The sequence below is a fragment of the Homo sapiens genome, chromosome 22 (assembly GCF_000001405.40).
Source record: "Homo sapiens chromosome 22, GRCh38.p14 Primary Assembly".
Classification (NCBI taxonomy): Eukaryota; Metazoa; Chordata; class Mammalia; order Primates; family Hominidae; genus Homo; species Homo sapiens.
The window spans coordinates 27877033-27901084 of NC_000022.11; the positions used below are offsets into that span (position 1 = coordinate 27877033).

The 24052-nt window shown below is 39.9% G+C and overlaps 1 protein-coding gene across 6 annotated transcripts in view, besides 1 other annotated feature; it reads right to left on the reverse strand.

Annotated features, from left to right (window-relative positions):
* PITPNB (phosphatidylinositol transfer protein beta) overlaps positions 1–24052 on the reverse strand; it is a 67588-nt gene that overhangs the window by 25364 nt on the left and 18172 nt on the right. For 5 of the 6 annotated variants that reach the window (NM_001284277.2, NM_012399.5, XM_011530052.3 and 2 more), the window contains exons 4-7: positions 20769–20860; positions 20098–20105; positions 19520–19594; positions 17523–17606 (exon numbers count right to left, since the gene is read on the reverse strand). In NM_001284277.2, the coding sequence (NP_001271206.1) occupies positions 17523–17606; positions 19520–19594; positions 20098–20105; positions 20769–20860 (259 nt within the window). Of the gene's footprint in view, positions 1–15096; positions 15299–17522; positions 17607–19519; positions 19595–20097; positions 20106–20768; positions 20861–24052 lie in introns of all 6 variants that reach the window. The other variant, XM_017028707.2, reaches the window with a different exon arrangement.
* Positions 18895–18944: an enhancer, noted in NCBI's record as "active region_18802". NCBI's record gives its function as "activates an Ori minimal core promoter by ATAC-STARR-seq in GM12878 lymphoblastoid cells {active_cell/tissue: GM12878}" and the evidence as "EXISTENCE:reporter gene assay evidence [ECO:0000049][PMID:35858748]".

The following is a 24052-nucleotide window of genomic DNA, read 5'->3' on the forward strand; positions in this document are numbered from 1 at the left end:
GAATTTGCTATGCACTTTCTGTAATCCTTGGGGAAAAAAGAGAGCAAATTCACCAGGCCAAGGAAATGCATTTTTAAAATGGGTTTTAAAATCATGTTTAAAAGTAGAAAAATCTTATTGCTAAAGTGCACTGTGTTTAAAATTTTTTATGATTCAATTTTAATTATCTGTATAATGCCCAGAGGCCTGGCCAGAATAAGGGCTTAGTAAAACCATCATTATCAAGTTAGGTGTAATATCCCTAGACACTACTTGCTCCACCAATAATAGTGCCTGAACAAAGAAAAAATACAATAGTATCAGCATAAGGTATATTCGGATTAGTGTTAATACAACTCTATTTAATTGAAAACTCTTATTTAAGAAAAAAAGGCAGGATAGCCTTCGGAGAACAAAACAAAATATAATATGGTAAATAAATGGATTACTGAGTCTCCACACTGGAGCCACAGAATACACTCATTAATTTCTTATAAATAACTGTTTTCTGTCACTGGAATACAAAAGTTGTGCTACTTCTTGGGTGTACATCTGTTACTACAGATCTCAACAGAAACTCTCAATAGAAACCGGATTCATTTCGAATACAAAGAATATTAGTTTCATGAATCTTTGAGTACAGTGGCTGCCCCCAAAAATGAAAGTACAAAATCTGTCTGTGCTGAGCCAAACTAAATGTCCCTGAGCCCAGATTTAACTCCTAATTATGAATGGGGAAGTGAGTAGGAGGTGGGGGGCAGGCTGGTAGGAGTTTCTTGACAGCTTGTGGAAAAATTGAGATGAGCTCCAGACACCAGAAACTGCTTAAATAACCATGCATGGGTTACTAGAGGTGAGGCTAAGTGTAAACTAAGGAAAAGAGGACCCAAACCACAAGCATTAGCAACTCCTTGGCACCTGCTTATAAAAGATCAACCCCTATTTTCTATCCTGTGGAGAGGGGGTGTTTTACTGGGCAAACATAAAAGCTTGAGAGAGACATTAGGATCCTGCAGCCTGTTATATAAAATGCTTTCCTTTAGCATACAATGATTAATTAGGTGTCTATTAAAATAGCTCAAAGATAATCATTAAGTTTTAAATGCATGGGTATTGCAGTTCAACTTAGCAAGGCTTATTTCCTCTAATCACATCCTAAAAATAAAGCCCAGGATGGGGAATAAAGCTGAATTAAATATGAAGATAAATAACAAACATCATTTATTAGCACTGCCCTGAATTTTCCAGTATTGTGGCACCTAAATGAGTTCCTGGATCCTATCACTGTTGACCCTAATGCCAAACGAATAACTAACTCAAGCTGACAAAATTCAAGCGAGACTCCAAAGAGTAAGTAAGCCCATTAAAAAAAAGTTTACATTAAATTTTGCAAAAGCAAATAACAGAGGTGTAAAGAGAAATAACATTTACTAACTTGTTTAAGAAACTGATTTCAACAGTTATTTTCAAATAAGCAGCTTTCTTTTCTATTTTTAATTACATCTCCCCAGTGACTCCTCAACCTTTCAGGTTCCCACAGAGTACCATTAATATAGTATAAGTAAATCTCATTAATTCAGGTCCTACTACCTTGGAATACATAATCATTCAGACAGGGGCTGGGCTGAAGTTTATCTTTGCATGATCTATGAAAAAAAGATTTGCTACACAAATTAATAGAGTAACAAGATCTCAGGAGGGCTGTTTAAACAGTTCAGAAGTGTTTTAGAGCAATTCAGAAGCATTCATTTGCATATAATTATTATGCTAATTACAAATCATTCTTATCTATTCATTAAAGCAGATTCCCAAAGGACCACTAATTGTCAATAACTTGTTGGCCTAGTTTCTGTTACTGAATGTACCTCAGAGGGACAAAACTGCATTAAAAAATATTCTATAATTCAGTCCTCTCATTAAACCTTACTGGCTTTCCACCAATGAATCCTAAAAGCTGAATTTTAAACAACTGTATTGAGAACTGAGAAATGCAGTCAAATCTACACCCCTGAACATAACACTTTTTTTTTTTGGTAATCTTTCTGATCTCAAAGAGACCCTCCATAGAGTCCTGAGATGGTGGGGGTGAGCCTGGCATGTGGGTGGTGGGAGCACTGCTAGGCTAGAGCACAACTAAACTAATCGTTCATTCCATTCTTTCTGATCTTATCCTTATCCCCAACACTGTCATGTTTATGGAGGCAGACTCCTAAAGCCTTTGGAAGGATACAAATTAATAGAGAAAGAGAAAGAAATCAGAATTTCAGCCCCAAGAAAAGGTTACAAACAGATGGCTATGTGATACACTCCATATCCTACAACACAGCAAGGAAACCAAATAGCTGTGCTCCAGGATAAGATGAGAAAGTGAGGCCCAATGGAGCAAGCTCTTGAGATTCCTGTATAGCCCAGAGCTACTGGGGCTAGTGAGCTGCCTTAAGCAGCTGCCCATGGGCTACACCCCAGCACTCTCCTCAGGGGGAGGTGGGTTCCTGCTTTGGGCAGTTCATGCACAAATATAGAATATATTTATTATTGTAATATTGTATTTATTACTAGTATATGTTTATATATTATAACACTTAAAAATGAAGATATTTCAAACTCTACTACCAATGAAATGAGTTTTAACAAGTTAATTCCATAAAGGTGTTTGTTAAACATTACATATTTTAAAATTATACTGCATATACCTGAAATGTAAGTGATACATTTAGAAAAGTTTTATTTACAAAAAGGCATGTTTCCTTAAATGACAGTAAATCACTGAACATATTATATCAATTTCCTTAAACTGAAATGGGGGAAAACACCCTAGTAAAAATTCAGAGTGAGCCCTCTCTCACTCTGAATGTTAGTCCATGATTTGGCCTTTAGCTTCTAAGTCCCAAGATTCCATTTAGTCCATTAGCATTAAGTTAACAAATATTCAACATGAAAAAGTTAAAATATGAAAAAAATTAAACATTTTTTTAAAGTAAGAACAAAATCCAATAAGCAACATCATTCCTGCTACCATTTTGAAGCACACACTTATGTGTCAGGCCCCCACATTCTCCCAGTTAATGCTCAAAAACTTGAAATAAAGGTACTGGACTATCACCACCACTAGGGGCAGGGAAGTGAAATTCTTTGCCAGAGTCCACCATCACTGAGCAGAAGAGCCAGGACTCAGATGCTGCCCTGTCTGACACCAAAGCCAACCATGATCCTTTATTGAAAAAATGTGATTTACATTCTACCATTTGATTAGACTCAAGTACCTGAAGGGACGCTTGCTCCCTCTCAGCCTAGGGAGCCTTCCTTAAAAAAGAGTTTACATGGCTGAAAAGGGGCTTTTATAAGAAATGCACTGTAAAAACTTGACTTGGAGCTGTTTATGCTTATTTCTTTACAAATATCTGCCATGAGCTGCTCAAAAACATTTTCTGACTCTCAGAGAATTTTATCCCCCACCCAAGGAACTAGAGCAAATCCTATTCACACCCCCATCACCTCCATTACCCTCCCCGCCTTTTTACTTTTAAAACATGGAAGAAATTAGGAATAAACCTTAAATTAATAATGGTTTCTAGTGAAAAAGCATTTTGTACAAAACATGCTTGTACACACCGATTTTTTTTTTTTTGAGATGGAGTTTCGCTCTTGTTGCCCAGGCTACAGTGCAATGGCACGATCTCGGCTCACTACAACCTCCGCCTCCCAGGTTCAAGCGATTCTTCTGCCTCAGCTTCCCGAGTAGCTGGGATTACAGGCACATGCCACCATGCCCAGCTAATTTTGTATTTTTAGTAGAGAGGGGGTTTCTCCATGTTGGTCAGGCTGGTCTCGAACTCCCAACTTAGGTGATCTGCCTGCCTCAGCCTCCCAAACTGCTGGGATTACAGGCGTGAGCCACTGCACCCAGTTAATAAAATTTTAAAATCCTTGCTAATGTTTAAGCAAGCACGACATAAGCAATATGTTGTTTTCCCACAAGAGGGCACTATCCAACCATGCCTTCGAATATAGTGGACATTCTCTAAATCTACTACTGGAAATGATCTGAAAGTGTGTGACCATGTAAGGCAGTGGAATAATGTAGGAAACATTTTCACATTTCTTTTTAATAGAAAACATGCCTACATTTATTTATATCTTCTTTGAAGATGGGGGAAAAATCTCTAACTTACTACAAAAGACCTTGACAACAGTCTGTTTCACAGTAAAGGCAAGATGAGACAGGCGTTTGGCAAACAGAAATTTCTTAAGCATAAGCAAAATCACTGCTACCACAAAACGTGTATTTGAGGTGCTTTCTCCCTAAGTTCAGGAAAGCTACTATCACATGCATTCATCTTGAGTTAGGAGCTGGGTCACAATTCTCATGTTTTTATTATGCACACATAATAAAGAGTTTTTGGATCACACACCCTAGTGATAAGTAACACATTTTTAAGACAGAAATGAACGTCTAGGTTCATTTTAACAGCAAAAAGACATGGTACTCTACTGAGATCAAGTGTGTCTCTGCTCATGCTGAAGAAAACAACCAAAGCAGCATTTGGCAACCATAGGCCCGGCTAGGACTGGCTGGATCTCAGCCACAGACTTCTAATAAACAAAAGCTCTTTTCAGGTCTAAAGAGCCGGGTAGCCACTGCACAGCTCCAAGAAGCAGAAAGCCCTTCTTAGGAAATAAGCAGCAGCAGTTGGAACAAATGTAACATCTAAAACACAGGAGCTTCTTGAAAGCTGTGAGAGAGAACCAAAAGGACTGCTGACCATTTAGGGTATCATCTACCAAAAATTAATTTGGAGGATATATTAGGTTGACCCATAAGAAAACGTCATTTCTGTAGCTCAAAAGCTTACAAATACTAACAACTTCACATGGCTTCAACCAATATTTAACTTTTTCTGGTCATGTTCCATCATTCTTTTTCATTTTGAAAAGAAAAAAGTTTTAATATTATAAAGATTATTTAGAGAGTGCAATGACGAAGTTTAGTAAAGCATGTGTTACCAAGACTATCTACACAAGTATGTAACATCTGGGCATTGTCTCAGAGAATGTATGATCAAAAGAAAAGATACACCAAATCCTTCTGAGAGCACAAGAGACAAGCACTGCTTAAGGTGTGACCAAAACTTACATGCCCCTAAGATTCAATCCAAATAAATTAAACCAAGTTTCATCAGTTTGCCAACTTTTAGAAAATAATATGTTTAAAAAGAGCAAAATACCTTTTTTTTAAACAATATACACCCATGGTTTAAAACAATTAAGAAGTGTCAGATTGCTCACTAAAAAAACTCAAAAAATGGAATGGTATGTTCGAAATGAAAAGAACTAAATGTATGGAAAAGCAAATCATTTATGTTCATTCCCAAAGGCAACTGAAATTTCAAAAAACAGGTACTGGCTTAGTATATTCCTGCCCTCAACTAAAACAGGACACTGTTCTTACTACCAAGACATACTCACCAAATAAAGAACAAGCAAAAAGTACAAACTTTAAAGACCAATTCAGTTTCTTTGACATCACAATCCTTAAAAAGATTAACCTGAGACTTCTACAAAGCTGCTCAGAAACAGTTTAGATAAGCCCAACAATCCCATTATAGTCCTTTGACAAGCAATTAAAATGTCTGTTCATTTAGTAAACTGCAAAACTCCAAAACTCGTGGCTCCGATTAGTCTTTGAACTTTGACTATGGCTGCAGCCTGGTGCCCAGCACTGGTCTGTATCAGCTGTAAGGAAAAATAACCCTCTGGTGAAGGAGCACTCACATACTACACAACCAACAGTTGGAACTTGTAAGTCACTTATACACACTTCAGCATGTCCGCGATTAAGAAACTCACTCTCTTTAGACAGATACAATTGTTCCTTTAACTGGAGAAAGATTTATCCACAGTAACACAAAACAAACAGTAAGTTCCAATAAATGTTTATTAAATGAACAAATGAGAAAATGTATGAGTGGTGTTCCCTGTAAGTACCCACACCAAAACACATCTTTGGGTGTCCAATCCTTTTACTCTATTGCACATATGCGAACTTCAAAATACATCAGAGTTCAGCAGTTGTGGGAGGAGCTGACCAAGACTACTACTGATAAAAACTGGGGTTTCAGGGGACTAGGGAAGAGGGATGGAAGAACAGCTGCTGCCTGTTTCCTTCAAATAAATTAAGAATGCTCTTAATCAACATATTGCAAAGGAAGAAACATCATACAGCAAAAAGTTGTTCTCGAATGACAAAAATAAAGTCAGGAGCTCTGCATTAGAGTCCTGGCTCCCCTTCCACTGCTTACATGGCTGGGGAGTTACAGCAGTTCCCTGGGCTACAAATTCTTTTAACAGTAAAAATAAAGGTTGAGGGGAATATTGTTGGACCATGGCCTCCAACTGAGATTCCTTCTGCTTCCAAAATCCTAGAAGGGTGCCTATGCTACAATCTTCACCATTAATAATGTATACTAGAATGCAGCTTCTCAAAGGTGGGCATGCGCAGGAATGGCCTGGAGGGCCAGAAAGAGCCCTGAGCCCTACTCCAAAGATTCTAAACAGGGAAGGGGCAACAAATTTGCATTTCTAATAAGCTGCCTGCGGGCAGACCACACTTGAATGCAAAGGGACTCAGGGTTTTGGCTTGAGTCCTAATAAAGGCTTTGACAGGCAAGCTCTGAAGTTAGCTAAAAATGCTCCCCAGCGACCCTCAGGGGCTCTAAAAAGAACCACCTCTTAACTTCCAGGCAATCTTCAGAGAACTGGACTAGTGGACAGACCCAACCCACAACTGGAAGTCATGCATGTACAGACCTGCCTAATGACCATGGTCTCCAAAGGAGACCAAACTGGGGACAGGACGGGGGAGGTGTGAGTGAGCTGGACTCAGCAGAGGTGATTCAGGTGTTGCAAAGGAGGCTGAGCTGATTATCAGCAGCCTCATGCTCCCACTTGGGAGTGCCTGTGTCCTCTGGGGTATTAAGAAAAAAAATGTGACTAGTGAGTGGACCCACAGCTTTGCTGCAGAAGCTGGTGCTGAAAAAGCTGCTTGCACGAAGTGTTTCTGCTGGAAAGAGATGTTGCAGACTGGTCCAGAGTCTCAACAGCAGCAACAACCCAGGGACCACACAGTGTAGGGAGGGAAGGCTGGCTGCCTGGGGCAGGCAGGAGGGCTGCAGCACTCGAAGCCCGTAATTGTGTCCCCATTACCCCCTGGGGGGGACATCTGCAAATGAGGAAAGGTACCAGAAAAAAGGATGGAGATTTTGGGTAAATATGACAGTGGAAATTATATTCATGGGCAGGTAAGGAAGAGGCACATGAGAGTAACAACTAGTGTGAAGTTAAAAAGGACAAAAAGATGAACGTGATATGAATGAAATCTGAGCTTTATCTTAGGAGCACAACAAACTTACTGCGTAGCCCACAAAACAGGGACCCCTCCTACTCTGCAGGGAAGTTCCCTATCAATCAGGGCATACCCTGCACATTCTGTGACCCAAAACGAATATGGCACACGAGTTTCTAGCTTGTGTCTCTTCCTTTCAAGAACATCATCCTTGGTGATGCTGAAAAGCCATGGTCTTGGCACTGTGGTCACACAATGCTAATGCTTGATCTTGAACCATCTCATTTAGGAAAAATTTCACCATGAACTGAAGCATTACACTCAAACATGCTGAAAGACGAGGGGAAAAATTTCATTCTCTCTTTAAATTTGATTCATTTCAATATTAAATGGATCCCGATTTTTAAACTACATCTCTCAATTTAATGCTTTTATATCATTATTTCCTTATTATTAACATGTAAAAAACACTCAGATGTTAAGGTGCATCACTTTTAGGTATGTAAGCCTTAAAATTTTGGATTAAACATTGTTTCTACTTAAAAAGTACCTTGAAAATTATACAAATAAAGTCACATAGTATGTACTATAGAGGAAGGCTGATACAATCCTTTCTTGTTATACATAAATATCTAAAAATGTGGTTCCAATTTCTTTTTTTTTTTCTAAACCATGCTCATTTTCTTTCAAATTACTTCCAAAAACGAAGGTCTCTCTGATGTTAATCGTGTGTATACTTCAGCTTACACTTTAAAGAGTCTTCCTCTCCCGGGAAGTGACTTTTGTATATAAATCATGGAAAGCTACTTAGACAAAGTGCTGGAGATGATTAAAAAGAGCCAGATTCAAATTTATACCTAAAAAAAAAAAAAAAAAAAAAAAAAAAAAAAAAAAAAAAAGCAGAAGCAGATGTCAACTGACTCATTTGTGTATATTTTGGAAATGTGCTGAAGATATGCATGTGCATTTCATCAGGACATTTAAGGAATCCTAAACTTTTTACTGTGGTTGTGTATCAGTGACAACTTTAGAAATTAAAAAACTTTAAAACTTACACTGTGGTGTTTTATGCTGGATACTCCTGGTTCTTACTACAATTTGATCTAACCAAAACACTTTTTAATCTGACCAAAAAGGTATTTGCTCATTTAGAAACAACACTCAGAAATTTTATTTTCTTCAGACAGTCTCTGTTGCCCAGGCTGGAGTACAGTGGCATGATCATAGCTCACTGCAGCCTCGAACTCCTGAACTCAAGCAATCCTCCTGCCTCAGCCTCTCAAAATGCTGGAATTGCAGGCATGAGCCACTGTGTCTGGCCAAAATTTTTAGAATTTAAGGCATATAATATATATCTTATCCAGAATTACTAAAGAAGGAATTAAAGTAGATTTTATTTTTTCATTTACTATTTGAACAATAAAAACTTCAACTCCTCCAAAAAGCCTTTTCTTCTTCTTTTTTATAATACTAGACAGAAAAAACATTTGCAAATTCTCTCTGATCTACCAAACCTTTATGGAAGAGCTTATGCCACGCCATGCATCCAGCATCTTGCTAGGTCCTGGAAACAGAAATGATGAGTACAGTACAATCCTGACCGCCAAGAGGCATCTAGCTTACTGAGGAAGACTTTTAGAAGTGATGCCTGGGTTTAAAACAAGGGGCTCTGAGGATGGAGAGGGCGTGAGGTGTGTCCTGCTGGAGCATGGTGTACTCTGTGACCACTGGGATGACCAGCAGAAGGACGCTTCCCTCTTAAAGGATATAACAACTTAATAACACTTCACTACAATGTCACTTTCTCTTGAAACAGGAAATCCGTTTCCTATGGTAGGTACATTCTGAAGGGACAAAAGATACTAAGTGAGGACATTATGCAGAAATCCCAGACTACTTGGCTTCTTTCATCAGGAAGTGATGTAGCTTCTAGAAAATTACAGAGAACAGTGGCTAAAGCAATAGTCATATACAGACTTCCCACAAGTCATCAACAAAAAGTCTTAATGACCCATATATTTAAATACATATGATTTTTGTAGCAAACTACTCTGTGACCCTAGGTCACACTGACAGATTTTTAAAACAAATCCTTGTTCCTAGAGTTATTGTGATGATGTCACCCTCCAATTATGTAAACATGTCAAAGCATCCACTCAAGTATTCAGTTATGCCATGAGTCAAATCCCATCTCTTCTCTGCATGGTGAAGTATAGTTCATAAACACTACCAAAGACAGCAAATCTACAAGAGTGGTATACAAGCCACCTGACAACCTAGCTGAGAGAGTTAAATCTTAAGAGTAATCAACAATCACTCTGAATTAAAATATTTGGGGCTGCATTTGTATTACATTCACCTGCAGTGACAGAAAGCCCCCACCAGGTGGAGTTTCAAATTCTTGGTTTCTTGCACTCCCAACTATTTCATGTTTGTCCTGACTCTGAGGACTTCACTCAAATTTAATAATGCAGCTGTTTTCTTTCTTTTTAAAAGCAAGTAATATGAAAGAAACTCAACCATTTAACTTTTTTTTTAATTAGCTCACTCAAGAAAAACCAGAAGTCATTAAATACAGAATGAAAAATCACTGATTAAATCAGACTGAGACAAAAATCTCCAGGAGTCAAGGTGCCACAAGTACAAACTTTGAGGATCACTATACCTTCAGAAGGTCTTCCTAATTTTCTTTTTCCAAATCACCACCAACACATTCATTTAAGGGAGAAAAGGTCAAATCATGAAATTTTAAATTGGGTAAGACTATAGACAGTGATTTACCTGACTTCTGGATATTCACAACTGCATAGGTAACCAGATTCTACATGTGAGGTGTTACCACTAAACACAGGCGCATTAGAGGAACATGAATTCCCAGTAGTCACACGATCTCCCATTCAGAAGGTGCTGCCCTTTGGTCATAAAAATAGTGTTGAGAAAAACGCAGGTTCTAGCTACAGCCTCCTAGTACAGGCCCAGACATGATGGTGGTCTTGTGAAAGGGGATCATTCCCTGTTTACAAAGCAAGAGAGTCAGGCTCCCAGCTGAGCTGCAGGGTAAGAGCTGGGGCTGACTGAAGGGGTAGGATCTGGATCTGGCCATTCAACCATCCAACCTGAGCCTCCACAAGCTGTCCTCTGGTCCCCGGAACAAGACAGACTCAGCAAATCTAGGAAGGAGATTCTGCTCCAATATCCCCACCCACCCCACCTCCCCAGGTCTAACAGGCGACCCAATCCATGGGGTGCAGCCCCACCCCCACTCAATCCCACACCCACTTACTGGCCTATTCATAGTTACTAAGCTCTCGATTCTAGTGTCACTCCAATCCTTAAAGAGCAAGTTTTAGGCACTAAACATTGACTGCTGGTATGGCAGATGCATCCTAAAGTAAACCCCTCCCTGCCATAAGTCACCCTCATGTAATTCCCTCCCGTTAAGTGCAAGCAGAACCGCTAACCTGCTTCTAAGCCACAGACTGTGGCAAAGGTAATGGGAGGCCATTCCCTTAATTAATCAAACTAATCAGGTCACATTACCCAGCCACTAAATATGTAGTGATCTCTTATGCAGCAACAGAAACCATACAGTTGGTGAGAGGAGTTTATCCCCTGATCCACTGCACACATCTCTGTCAGACCTCAACTCTTCCATCCCATTCCTGTCCTAAGGGAAATCACTATTAATGGCATCTTATGCATTCTTCTTGATAGTCCATACATAACTAAGCAAACTATTTTTCTCCCTTTTAATATAACAAATGGAAGCATATTATACATACTTCTTTGTCTTTCTCCCTCCAGGTTGTCTTGAAAAGGATTCTCCATCAGTACAAATAGAGCTCACTCCCTTTTAATGATTGCACTGAACTCCATCACATGAGTGTGCCACAATGATTTTAATCAGTTCCCGATTGATAAAGAAACACTTAGACTTCTGATCCTAGGTTTATACACCTGTCACTTTACAGTGGGTAGAGTTAATTCCTAGAAGCAGAATTTTGCTGGGTCAACAGGCTATGTACACTTGTAATTCTGCTAGACTAGCAACAGTTCCACTAATTTACATTCCCACAGACAATGTATGGGAGTGCCTGCTTCCTCATCCCTTGCCAACCCAGGTGTTATCAAAAGGACATCAAATTGATTTTGTATTCCAGTACAAACTCTTGGCTCATAGTGTTTAGTTTCATCATTATTCTCAAGCTCATCAGGTTCATCTGACCGATATTTATGAAGGGCCTACTCTGTAAAAAGGGAACAGGTTGCTAAACAAAGAGAACAAAACACACCAATGAAATGAGCAAAAGCTTCTGAAATTCAGCAGAGAGGAAGACTGATTTCAACTTGAAAGAAATCTCCCTGGAGGAGGCAAGCTCCGACCTACCTAGATCCTGAAGGACATGTCAACTTTGGACAGAGAAAGGAGTCCCAGAAAGGAGGTGAGAACAAGTAGTGTGTTGGAACAGGAAAGCATAGGGTATGGTCCGTGGCACAGCAGTGTGAGGAGAGGAAGAGAATGCTCAAGTGGCAGCTCGAAGAGTGACTGCCCTGGCAAGGCCTGAGCTAGGGAAGAATCAGTCAGTGATCTGAGAATTGGGATTTCCACTTTAGGCATTAGCTAAGTGATCATGAGAAATACTAGCTTACCTGGGCCTCAGGAGGTTAGCCCTGAAACCAAAATTTCTGTAGCTGCAGAACTGTGTGTTCAAAGTAAATCTTACAGTCAAGACTAACGACAAGCAAGCACAACTGCGCTGGGAGAGGGAACAGGAAGGAACTCAGCCCCTTATTCTAGTTGCTCCATCCTGATAACCTGAGGGAGGAGGGGGCAAGAAACTCTTAGGATTATGTGAAGCACAGTCTAAATGCAAGGAGGCCTAGGTAGCTAAGGTTCCCTTCAGCTCGAAAAACTACTCCAATTCAATGTCAGATGGTACACCTGTACCTTCATTTCTATTCTGCTTGCCTATGATTCATTTATTAACAGGAATTCACTGAGTACCCACTACATTTCAGACAGTGTTATAGGATCTGGGGAGACATGGGCTAAGGTTGCAAAGACTCTTCCCTCTCAGGTTTAATTTCTACTTGGAAGGGAGAGAGAAAAATGAAGAAATAAACGTATAATGTGTCAGAGCAACGAGTGTAAGAGGAAAAAGTGTAATGACTGTTCCACTCATCAAAACTCTACACATCCTCATGTCAGGAGTCTTTCCTTCAGCCTTTTCAGCTTTGCATTCTTACAGATCATCTGTTCTCTTCTCTGAAATCCTACAGCACTTTGGACCACGCTGTAAGCCTCTGCCACTTGTTAACTACTTCATTGTACTGGGCTTCTCTTGCTAAGACTGTAAGTCTCTTGTAGGTGCTATACAAATCCTCGACAGCTACCACAGTGCTGCATGCACAGCACTGGTACACACTGCACAGGCATTCAGTACTATTGACTGCTATGACATTACCGTTTTAGAATAGCAAAGGTGTTGTGCCTTTTCTCTACACTGTAGACTAGAATATTCGAGTGACAAAATTACCTAAAAGGGCAGAATGAAATGAACTAATTAACTTAACAGAAAACCAAATTGGATCTGGTAAGAAGTAGTGACCTTCAGGTGGTCCAGGTGTTTGGGACAGAAGCTAATCCTAAAACACTAACTAGTCAAGGCCCAAACAATGGGGCGGAAATTAAAGGGTTAGAGTGTAGGGGCAGCTGTCAATGCCTGTGAAAGTGGACAGACAAGGATGTGCAGAAGAAAAGAGCAGACCCAGGGTCCCTGCACCACTAGATTTCACAGTCACCTCCTCCCTGAAATGGGGGTCTGGTCCTAGCTCTCCTGCCACCACCCATACCTGCCTTCAACACCGCCCACCCCCACACCCTCCATCCCAACCCTGGAAGCTCAATGCTCTGCTCCAGGCTTAAAAACTGTCAAGGGCAACTTTGCCACCAAAAAGTTCTTCTCTTTCTTTTTGTAACAGAGAAATATGCATACTGGAATTATTTTTTTTTTTTACATCAAAAGGTCTGATAATCCTTACGTAACAGTTCTTTAATTATCCCCCAAGACAGCACATTAGACGAAAAGCTCCTGTGACACAAAGGTCTACAGCAGCACTAGTCACAACAGCCAAGAGGTAGAAAAAACCCAAATGTCCATCAACAGATGAACGTATGAAGCTGGGCGCGGTGGCTCATGCCTGTAATCCCAGCACTTTGGGAGGCTGAAGCAGGAGGATCACAAGGTCAGGAGATCGAGACCATCCTGGCTAACATGGCGAAACCCTGTCTCTACTAAAAATACAAAAAATTAGCTGGGCATGGTGGTGGGCACCTGTAGTCCCAGCTACTCGGGAGGCTGAGGCAGGAGAATGGTGTGAACCCCGGAGGCGGAGCTTGCAGTGAGCCGAGATCGCGCCACTGCACTCCAGCCTGGGCGACAGAGCGAGACTCTGTCTCAAAAACAAAACAAAACAAAAAACAGATGAATGCATGAACAAAATGTGGTCTATCCATACACTGGAATATTATTCAGCCATAGAAAGGAATGAAGTACTGACACACACTACGAAGATGAATCTTGTAAATCAATGCGAAGTATAAGAAAGAAGCCAGCCACAGGAGGCTGTGCGTTGCGTGATTCTATTTATATGAAATATCCAGAATAGGCAAATCCCAAAAGACAGAAAACAGGTTAGCAGTTGCCAGAGGTTAGGGGGAAGGAGAATCAGGGAACGACTGTTCATGAGTACAGGGTGTCCTCTTGGGGTGATGAAAACGTTTTGCAGCTAAACAGTGGTGATGGTTGCAGGACCCTGTTAATGTACCAAATGCCACTGAATTATACATTTAAAAATGGCTAAAAGGGTAAAATTTAGATTATGTGTATTTTATCCCAATAAAAAATAGTTCCTGCAAATTCAATAAACTTTAAAATAAATTTATATCTTACTAATCTCTAAAACGTAATGGGAAATTAGGAGCTATGAACATCAAAAAGCCACATATACGCAGGTTGTGTTTAGTCCCCAGACAATGCTTGGTGTGAACACAGACTCTTGGAACTCTTGTACAACTGGAGCTAATAATAATGATAATTACAGCTAGCATTTACTGAACTACACACTGGCTGTATGATAAGATCTGGCTCTGTGTTACCACCCAAATCTCATCTCAAATTGTAATTAACACATGTCAAGGGAGGGACCTGTGATCCCCATGTGTCAAGGAAGGGAGGTGACTGGACCATGGGGGCAGCTTCCCCCATGTTGTTCTGGTGACGGTGAGTGAGTTCTCACAAGATCTGTTTAGGAGTTCCTCCTTCCTCCTCCTCTCTCTCCTGCCGCCATGTAAAACGTGCCTGATTCCCCTTCCACCATGACTGTAAGTTTCCCAAGGCCTCCCCAGCCATGCAGAACTGTGAGTGAATTAAACCTCTTTCCATTATAAATTACCCAGTCATGGGTAGTATCTTTACAGCAGTATGAAACAGACTAATATACTCTTAAGTGCTCACATTTAATCTTATAATTACTCTCATTTTACACAAGATAATACAGGCAAAGAGAGGCTAACCAACTTGTCCAAGATTAAATAGCCAGTAGGTGGCAGAGCCTCAGAATGGAAATCTGAAGCCCACCTAGTTTTAGAATGTATGTTTTTAGTCAAAGCTCCATACCTCACAACACAGATCCTCCTCACTTGGGCTCAATCCAGTCTTTTTCACTAGCTATCCACCCCAAACATCACCATTTTCACACAGAGAACTACCTACTCAGCCTTTGCATGTGCAGTGCCTTCCACCTGGAGCACCTATCTCAAGTGCTGCTGTCATGCATCCAGTGCCTCCTCTCCTCTCTGAAGTCTGTGCTGAGGTGGAGGTGATGGGAACCAGGGCCTCCACGGTTCTTGTGCAATCTGCCCTTACTCTGCTCTTTCCACCAGCATTCATGCCTGTAAACACTGCCCATTTTCGCCTGAGGACAGGAACAAAGAATTTTTATGCCTCCAGCAAAACCAAAGGTATCTTGTACTCTGCTGGTGAACAACGTAGACTGCAAACCTATGGACCATAAGTCTGAGTCAGTCGAGCCATTTTGTTTGGTCATTATAGCATTTTCAAACACCAACAACATAATGGGAATGCCTTCCCCAGGGCACCCGATCCTGGTGTGGCATACTGCTGCTTGGTATTTTAGTGATGGGCAGCTCCAGGCTTGTAAGCTGTCCTGACCTAGTCATTAACTAACTCACTCATTACTCCCAATTACTTCTCTTCCCATCATTCTTTCACATATAGTAAATCTTAGCTGTAAACAATACCAAGAGAAATAAAAGGGCATAACAGATATATCATTTCATTTCTACAGATTGAAAAACTCCCTATATAATGTCAAAGGTGGAAATATCCCTAAAATTGAAACAACTTCGAATCACAGCAAAACTAAAATTTAAGAACTTCTAGAACAAAAGTCCCTTATCAGTGCTCACACTTCTAAGCAGGAAGGGGGCCCTAGCAGAGTTGGCCCAGCCTGGCACTGGGTCACTGCTGGCAGTCTCAACCCCAGTGACATCTGAGAAAAGGTCGGGGACCTTTGTTCAGGCAAGTTTACCTTTAAATTTCAACAGCAAAACCAGACATTTAGCGTTTGACTTATTTCTGTTTCACTTACAACACTGCTCAAGTTCAGGGAATAAGCACCAAAAATAGAAATGGAAAGGGACGCCTACTGAACATACCGTGCTTGACCACGACAAAACAAAGGGTACCACTCTTATTCCAAAGCTTTAGCTCTCTAGATTAGAGGAAGAGGACCAGTGCTTGTATTTACACATGCTGTGTAAAACCAAAGCAGCACTTAGCACACTATAAAGTAAGAACCACATTAATATTCATAAACTTTGGCAAGATGAGACAGGGGTCTGTTTTTTCCTTTTTTTTTTTTTTTGAGACGGAGTCTCGCTCTGTTGTCCAGGCTGGAGTGCAGTGGCGCGATCTCGGCTCACTGCAAGCTCCGCCTCCCGGGCTCATGCCACTCTCCTGCCTCAGCCTCCCGAGTAGCTGGGACTATAGGCGCCCACCACCATACCGGCTAATTTTTTGTATTTTTAGTAGAGAAGGGGTTTCACCATGTTAGCCAGGATGGTCTCGATCTCCTGACCTCGTGATCTTCCTGCCTCAGCCTCCCAAAGTGCTGGGATTACAGGCTTGAGCCACCATGTCTAGCCTTTTTTTTTTTTTTTTTTTTTTTTTGAGCTAGGATCTCGCTCTGTCACCCTGGCTGGGGTGCAGTGGTACGATCACGGCTCACTGCAACCTCAAATTTCTGGACTCAAGTAATCCTCCTGTCTAAGCCTCCTCATGTAGCTGGAATTACAGGCACATGCCACCATGCCCAGCTAATCGTTTTTTTCTTTTTAGAGACAGGATCTCACTATGTTGTCCAGGCTGGTCTCAAGCTCCTGTGCTCAAGCAATCCTCCCTCCTTGGCCTTCCAAAGTGTTGGGATTACAAGTGGAAGCCACTGTGTCCAGCCTAAGATTATTCTATTATGCTTACATATATAATCTTTATCTTGAGTCTTAATCTGGCATGAGGAATAAGCATCTTTACTTGTGAAAAAGAAATTTTTTTATTAAGTCAAAAGCCAGGAGTAGAAATATTTACATCTTAATAGGATTCAAAATAGAAAGCTAAACAACTATTAAATTAAAATACTCTACACCTACTTCTGGAATCTAAAAGAACATTTTTAAAAAGATACTCTACACCAACCATTTTCCACAAATAACAACTGTAGCTGAGTTACTAAATACTTGTATGCAAATTAAATTTTTGCTTTCTTAATCACATTTGAAAAGTAAAAGGGACCTAGCTGGAGGGAGAATTATTTTGTAAACAATGTGTTTTTTGTTTTTCAATGAAAACAACCTACATTTCCCAGGTATACTGGGATTTCTTAAAGGGATCACTTGCACAAAGCCAAAATCTACACAGAAAACAAATCGCCTTCTCTCTTACTCTGGTCTCTTTGCTGCACAGACGTACTAGACTTCACTCCAAGCTCACTTCGGCATAGAAATGTAGGCCATACAAGAAAGAAAGGAAATAATTTTTTTAACTTAATCCCAAATGTGATAGTAGAAAATAATTTTTAACTGTAAAAGGGAACAGATTAAATGTCATTGAGTAATACTTACTGCTGGTTCAACTTGACTTCTATCTGCAATATCTATATGGACAATTTCAACAGTTTTCCATGTGTTTGGATCTAAACCATGTACCTACCAATGACAAAGAGAAAAGAAACAAAACAAACTGTAGATTATTCTATTATGCTTACACATATAATCTTTATCTTGAGTCTCTCAGGGGACATTATAGGGAATTAAAAGACCCAAATTATTATTTCATTATATTAGCTGTCTGACATTTTGCAGGATCTAAAAGTCTTTTATTACCACTTATAACCCCAAATAATAAGGAAGGAGAGAATGAGGATGCTGCCAAATGAATAGAAACCTGTCAATATTATCTTCTGACAGTCCTCACAGATGATTTATGTAACTAAATATACGAGACCTATGCTTAATCCAAATGATACACAACAAAGTACTTGTAACCTTTGTAACCAACAAAGTCCTATACAAACATAAGGTGACATTACAAGTAGAATTCAAATGATGCACTGTATGGTCTAAAATCTCTCCAAAATTTGATTATCCTAAAGCTATTCAGTTTCAGTATGATGCCAACTCCTCTCTACTGCATGTTGATCAATCATTTATTTCTGAAATGCCATCTGTGAACTAATTAGGAATTGTTTGAAAACTGCCAAAGATATGCCCATTTAAAAGCTGAAAATATCAGATTAAGTCATACAGATTAATGCACACCAAATAATCTTATCTAGATTATAAATTATAGAGGATTACTAAGAAAAACAACATAAAGGCTGGGTGCAGTGGCTCACACCTGTAATCCTAGCACTTTGGGAGGCTGAGGCAGGCAGATTACCTGAGGTCAGGAGTTCAAGACCAGCCTGGCCAACATGGTGAAACTCCATCTCTACTGAAAATACAAAAGTTAGCCAGGCATGGTGGTGCATGCCTGCAGTCCCAGCTACTTGGGAGGCTGAGGCAGGAGAATTGCTTGAACCCAGGAGGCAGAGGTTGCACTGAGCAGACAGCACGTGATTGCACCCCAGCCTGGGCAACAAAGTAAGACTCTGTCTCAAAAAAAAAAACAAAAAGAAAAACAACATAAAATGTCAAATGATCACTTGAAAGAAAACTCAAGTAAAATACTACATATTAAAATTCAAAGTTCTATTAACTGGCATCAATAACGTAAGAGCACCGTAATAGAACAGTAAAAACAGAATTTGCCACAATCATTAACCTACTCTCCTGGAATGAATGTGCATCAGAAAACAGAAACTGCTGAGTCCCACCCCTAGAGATTCTGGTTCGGTAGTTCTTGGGTGAGGTCAGAGTATTTGCATTTCAAACAAGTCCTCAGATACTGTGCTGCTGCTGGCCCATCCAAAGACCACACTTTTGAGAACTCCTAGACCAAGGGCATCAACCTATACAACAGGACTTCCCAAGTTCCACGACAAACCTTACCAAAAGTTAATGATTACATTTTTTTAAGTCCTAACTCAAAGATGTTCTTGAATCTTAAAGAGATAAATGTGAACCAACTTATATAAGTCAACAGCTTTTCAACATTTTTGTAAGTTATTCAAGTACTTTATCCCTCCTGCCTTTTGGCCATTTCTCTAACATGAGCCCATACCCTTGCAAAGCAGACAAGAGGTAAAAATTAAAGCAATCAATCCTGCTATGCAGAGCAGCTCTGACAAACACTCAGATATAAAAGCAATCTAATTAGCAAAACTAATGGCTAAAATTGGGCTGGGGATTATCTGTGAATTTTGTTTATTCATGCTCTCCTTGTCTCGGATAAAGAGAGTTGCTGATCAAAACAGCAACTTTACCAAAGTGTCAAGGCAAGCGGACTGATAGGGAAAGCCTATTTGGTTTCTGGCTGCTTGCCCGCCTCATCTCAATTTGACACAGCTTGGTGCGGTCAGATACACAGGTGACATTACTTTGATGATGACAAAGTGAACTACATATAGAATTCTCGTTTCCAGGGACTTTTGTACTAAAAGTGCAGAGTTGAAACTTACATTTTCTAATGTTCCCAAGTCTGGTTTGTGCCATGTTTCGATTTTAATGAAGAAATCATCTTTCATATATTCATTCTGCAGAAAACACAACAGGAAAATGACAGTGATCTTCTACCTGTTCCTTGGTGCCCACGTCTGAGGGAGCTTTTCCCAGTATAGGCATCCATGCTTTGACTCTACAAGGAGACTGATACTCAAGTGACAAAGAATCATTGGCTACCGATTTTTATAGACTTGTCAGGCAAACCAAATGCTACATGCTTTTAAATAATTTAAACAATTCTACTTGCCACGTGGCATATCGGGCTAATAAAGAAGCTGTGAGGTCTGATAAACAAATATGGCGTTTGAAGGGAGTAACAAAAGCAAAATAAAATCAATAGGGAGATTTTGAGACAAGGGTGGAAAGGGCCCATGAACACTGGGAACATGTGGTAGAGTGTGGCGGCTGGTTGGTGGGACACAGGAAGGAACCATGCAGCGAGGTGCAGTTAGCAAAGAATGGTTGAAAATAATTACTGTGTAAAACAAAGTTTAAAGATAAAGAAAGTATGAGACACAAAAATAGTTTTACTCACCGTTACAACTGAGGCATAATGGAGAGGTAGGTAATGAAAGGAGAAAAATTTCAGAATATTAATTGGAGTCAAAACAATCTGTCCCAATACTTAATGTCACAAAGACTAAACTATCTGAAAACAGAACATTTATTTAGTAATTTATGTCTGCAAAACAGTTTCCACACAAGTGACACTATACAGTACATTAGATTATGGAGTACAAATAAAATATGAACAATAATCTAATTTTAAAAATAATGCTAAAAAGAATAATAATGTCACAAAAGCAAAACATTATTTATAAGGTCAATTTAGCAAATGATAGGATGCTGTTTCAGAAGTCTGTCCTATTCCTCCTCTATTATGTAGCAATTTAAGTAAAATACTGTTGAAACACACCAAAACACCCTTCTGAGTGTAAACGACCTTTCTTTTGGCTTACCCCTGGAGCCAGCATAGTCAGCTAGGACCCCAAAGTGGCTGCCATGTGGGAATGAACTTATGCCTGTCACAAAGTTCTAGGGGGAGGAACCCAATGCAGCCCTTCCTCTGCCATCATTCTAGCAGTGACTATCCAAGAACCCAAGGAAGACCTTGCTCAGTGTAAACCTTCTCAAAGACACTGGTACTGGGAATCCCTCTCATTCTCAGGGTGGAGGGGTGCAATGGCTGCTGGGGGCCAAGCTTACTTGTTCTACAGTAGGGGTACGCATTCCAGGCTTTCTCATGAAACACCAAGGAGCCCTCGGGAGCAATCATCCTCACGAATGCAGGCACTTTGCTGGGAGAAGAGAGATACTGGATATATTTAACAGCACCATCAATTCTTTCTTGGTATCTATCCAACTGCTTGAAAGAGTATGGCAATCAAAGGTGACCAGGTTCTAAGTCTGATGAACTAGTTTATTTCAATCCTAAAGTAATCCAGTAGAAATGAACACATAATTTTTTACATTTTAAATAAAAATGATTAAGAATATTTAGCTGGGTATGGTGGCTCATGCCTGTAATCCTAGCATTTTGAGAGGCTGAGGCAGGAGGATCACTTGAGCCCAGGAGTTTGAGACTAGCCTGGACAACATGGTGAAACCCTGTCTCTACAAAAAATATAAAACTAGCCAGGCATGGTGGCACATGCCTGTAGCCCCAACTATTCAGGAGGCTCAGGTGGGAGGATCACTTGAACCTGGGAGATAGAGGTTGCAGCAAGCTGAGATCACACCACTGCACTCTAGCCTGGGCAAAAGAGCAAGACCTTGTCTCACAAGGAAAAAAAAAATTAACTGTATAAAAGGTTTTGTGTGTGTGTGTGTGGTTTTTTTTTTTTTAAATAGAAGCAATTATTTCTTAAGAACTTCTGATCTACTACCCCAATGTAAAACCTAAGAGTTAACAGCTATTCAATCTGCACATTAATACAATGTAGTTCTTAAGAGTTAGATGACATTATACTGTTTCTTAATGCAAAAAGCCCCAGAATAAGGAGATATCTCTGAATAAAAGTCTGAATACATTTTATAGAACAGACCTGAAGAAAAATGACAATGTAAAGGACCCATGCAGAAAATGAGAAATTAAAGCATATCCAAGTATAAAATTTTGTAGGTATGGGAGATGAATGTCACTTGCTGCCTTAAGTATATTCAGAGGAAGAGAAAGGTTCAATACATGATTAATATATGAGAAGCTTGTGCAAGCATATGATAATCAGAAACAATCCCAACATATAAAGGGGCAAAAGTCATCCACAGGCCCATTACAAATAGAAAATGTTATTTGTTAACAAACAAATGGGAAAATCAGTCTTAACAGTCTTCAAATAAATGCAAATGAAGTGACTGATATAGTGACTGGAGCCTACTGTAAAGAGTAGTTTTGCTTGCACAGACTTTTCACACAGATCGAATTCAAATCCCAACATCACCATTTGGAAGCTGTGTGACCTTAGGCCTGCTACTTGGCTTCTCTGAAATTCCTCATGTGTTGAATGGAATTCCTATTACCTGCTCTGCAGGGTTATTAAGAGAATTAAATCAAATACTGGAATGTGTTTAGCACATTGCACAGTACAATGAGCTCAAAAAATGGTAGTTACTGCTTTTTAATTATAAGTTGATACGGAGCTGGGTATTTTCATATGCCTTTCTTCATTTAAATCTTCCTTAATGTCTTCACATCCTTAAAAATGAAAGGAGCTAATTCTTTGTTCACTTATTTCTTTTTTCTTTTTTGAGACGGAGTCTCACTCTGTTGCCCAGGCTGAAGTGCAGTGGCAGGATCTCGGCTCACTGCAAGCTCCACTTTGGGTTCACGCCATTCTCCTGCCTCAGGCTCCCGAATAGCTGGGGGTACAGGCGCCCGCCACTAGGCCCGGCTAATTTTTTTGTATTTTTAGTAGAGACAGGGTTTCACCGTGTTAGCCAGGGTGGTCTTCATCTCCTGACCTCGTGATCCGCCCGCCTTGGCCTCCCAAAGTGCTGGTATTACAGGCGTGAGCCACCGCGCCCGGCCTGATCACTTCTTTTCAAATGGTGGAACAATTCATTCAAACTTCAGAAACACCAAGCCAGGATAACTGAAAATAACATCACTTTAAAAGTCAAAGAGTATCTAGCTGTCCAAAAAATTTATCCCATTGCTAAAGAACTAGAACCAAAATCCCTTTAAGTGTGGGTGAGGTCTAATCAGGGTACAATGGAACACATGAGGATAATTTTTTAAGCCAAGCTACAAGACTACCTATTCATCTGAGAGTATGACAAACAGATCTATCAATGGTTCAGCTGGTCAACTTAGAAAAAGCAGGAGAGGCCAGGCGTGGTGGCTCACGCCTCTAATCCCAGCACTTTGGGAGGCAGAGGTGGGTGGATCACCTGAGGTCAGGAGTTCGAGACCAGCCTGGCCAACATGGCAAAACCCATCTCTACTAAAAATACAAAAAATTAGCCGGGCATGGTGGTGGGTGCCTGCAATCCCAGCTACTCGGGACACTGAGGCTGAATTGCTTGAACCTGGGAGGTGGAGGGTGCAGTGAGCTGAGATCATGCCATTTCACTCCAGCATGGGTGACATAGCAAGACTCTGTCTTTAAAATAAAAAATAAAAAAAAAAAAAGAAAGAAAAAACAAAAAGGCAGGAGAAACAATTCTGTATTAACTCAGACACATATTTTAACTATCCATTTATTCCTATAGTGCCTGATATGTGAAGAACCTTAATATTCATAAAATGTTCTAAAATTTGCTGACTCAAATAGAAGGAAATTGGCATTTATCATTAAAGGCCAACATGAGCCAAATCTACATGAAAATTTTAATATTTCTTTATCTCGCTCCCAAATGCCTACTATCTTATTTCTAAGATACTTTTCCCACCATGTGAATTCCAGCAATTCATTTTATGTTTTGACTGAGTTAATAAAGTCCAAATCTATAAGCTAGATTTCAAATTTACTTTTTTTTTATGTTTAACGTGAGAACATTATCAAATACATCTCTCCTCAATGAATCTAAGTAACTGACTAAACGAGGAAAATGTGCACATGGAGTAAATAAAATTAAATTTCAATTCTACTTCAAAGGTTAGAAATTTTTATTAATGGCAACCTTAATATATTCCTAACATGGTAGTTCAAGTGTGCCAGGTATATATAATTGAGAGCATATACATCATTTTGCCACCACAGTTACCACTTAGCAAGGCACTTTAGTAAAATGCAGCAGATTCCTCATTTGGAAGCTTAGCCTCCGAAAAGAACAATTATTAACTGAATGAACAATAGTAAGGCCCTTTAGTAAAATGTAGCAGATTCCTGTTTTGGAAGCTTAGAGAGCCTCAGAAAAGGAACAATTATTAACTGAATTAACAAAATGGGAGATAGGCCTTCAAAAACAAACATGCAAAAAAGACAATCCTTCAGTTGTCCTCCCAAACTATTCACAAAATGGTGCTCCCTCATGATAAACCAATACTC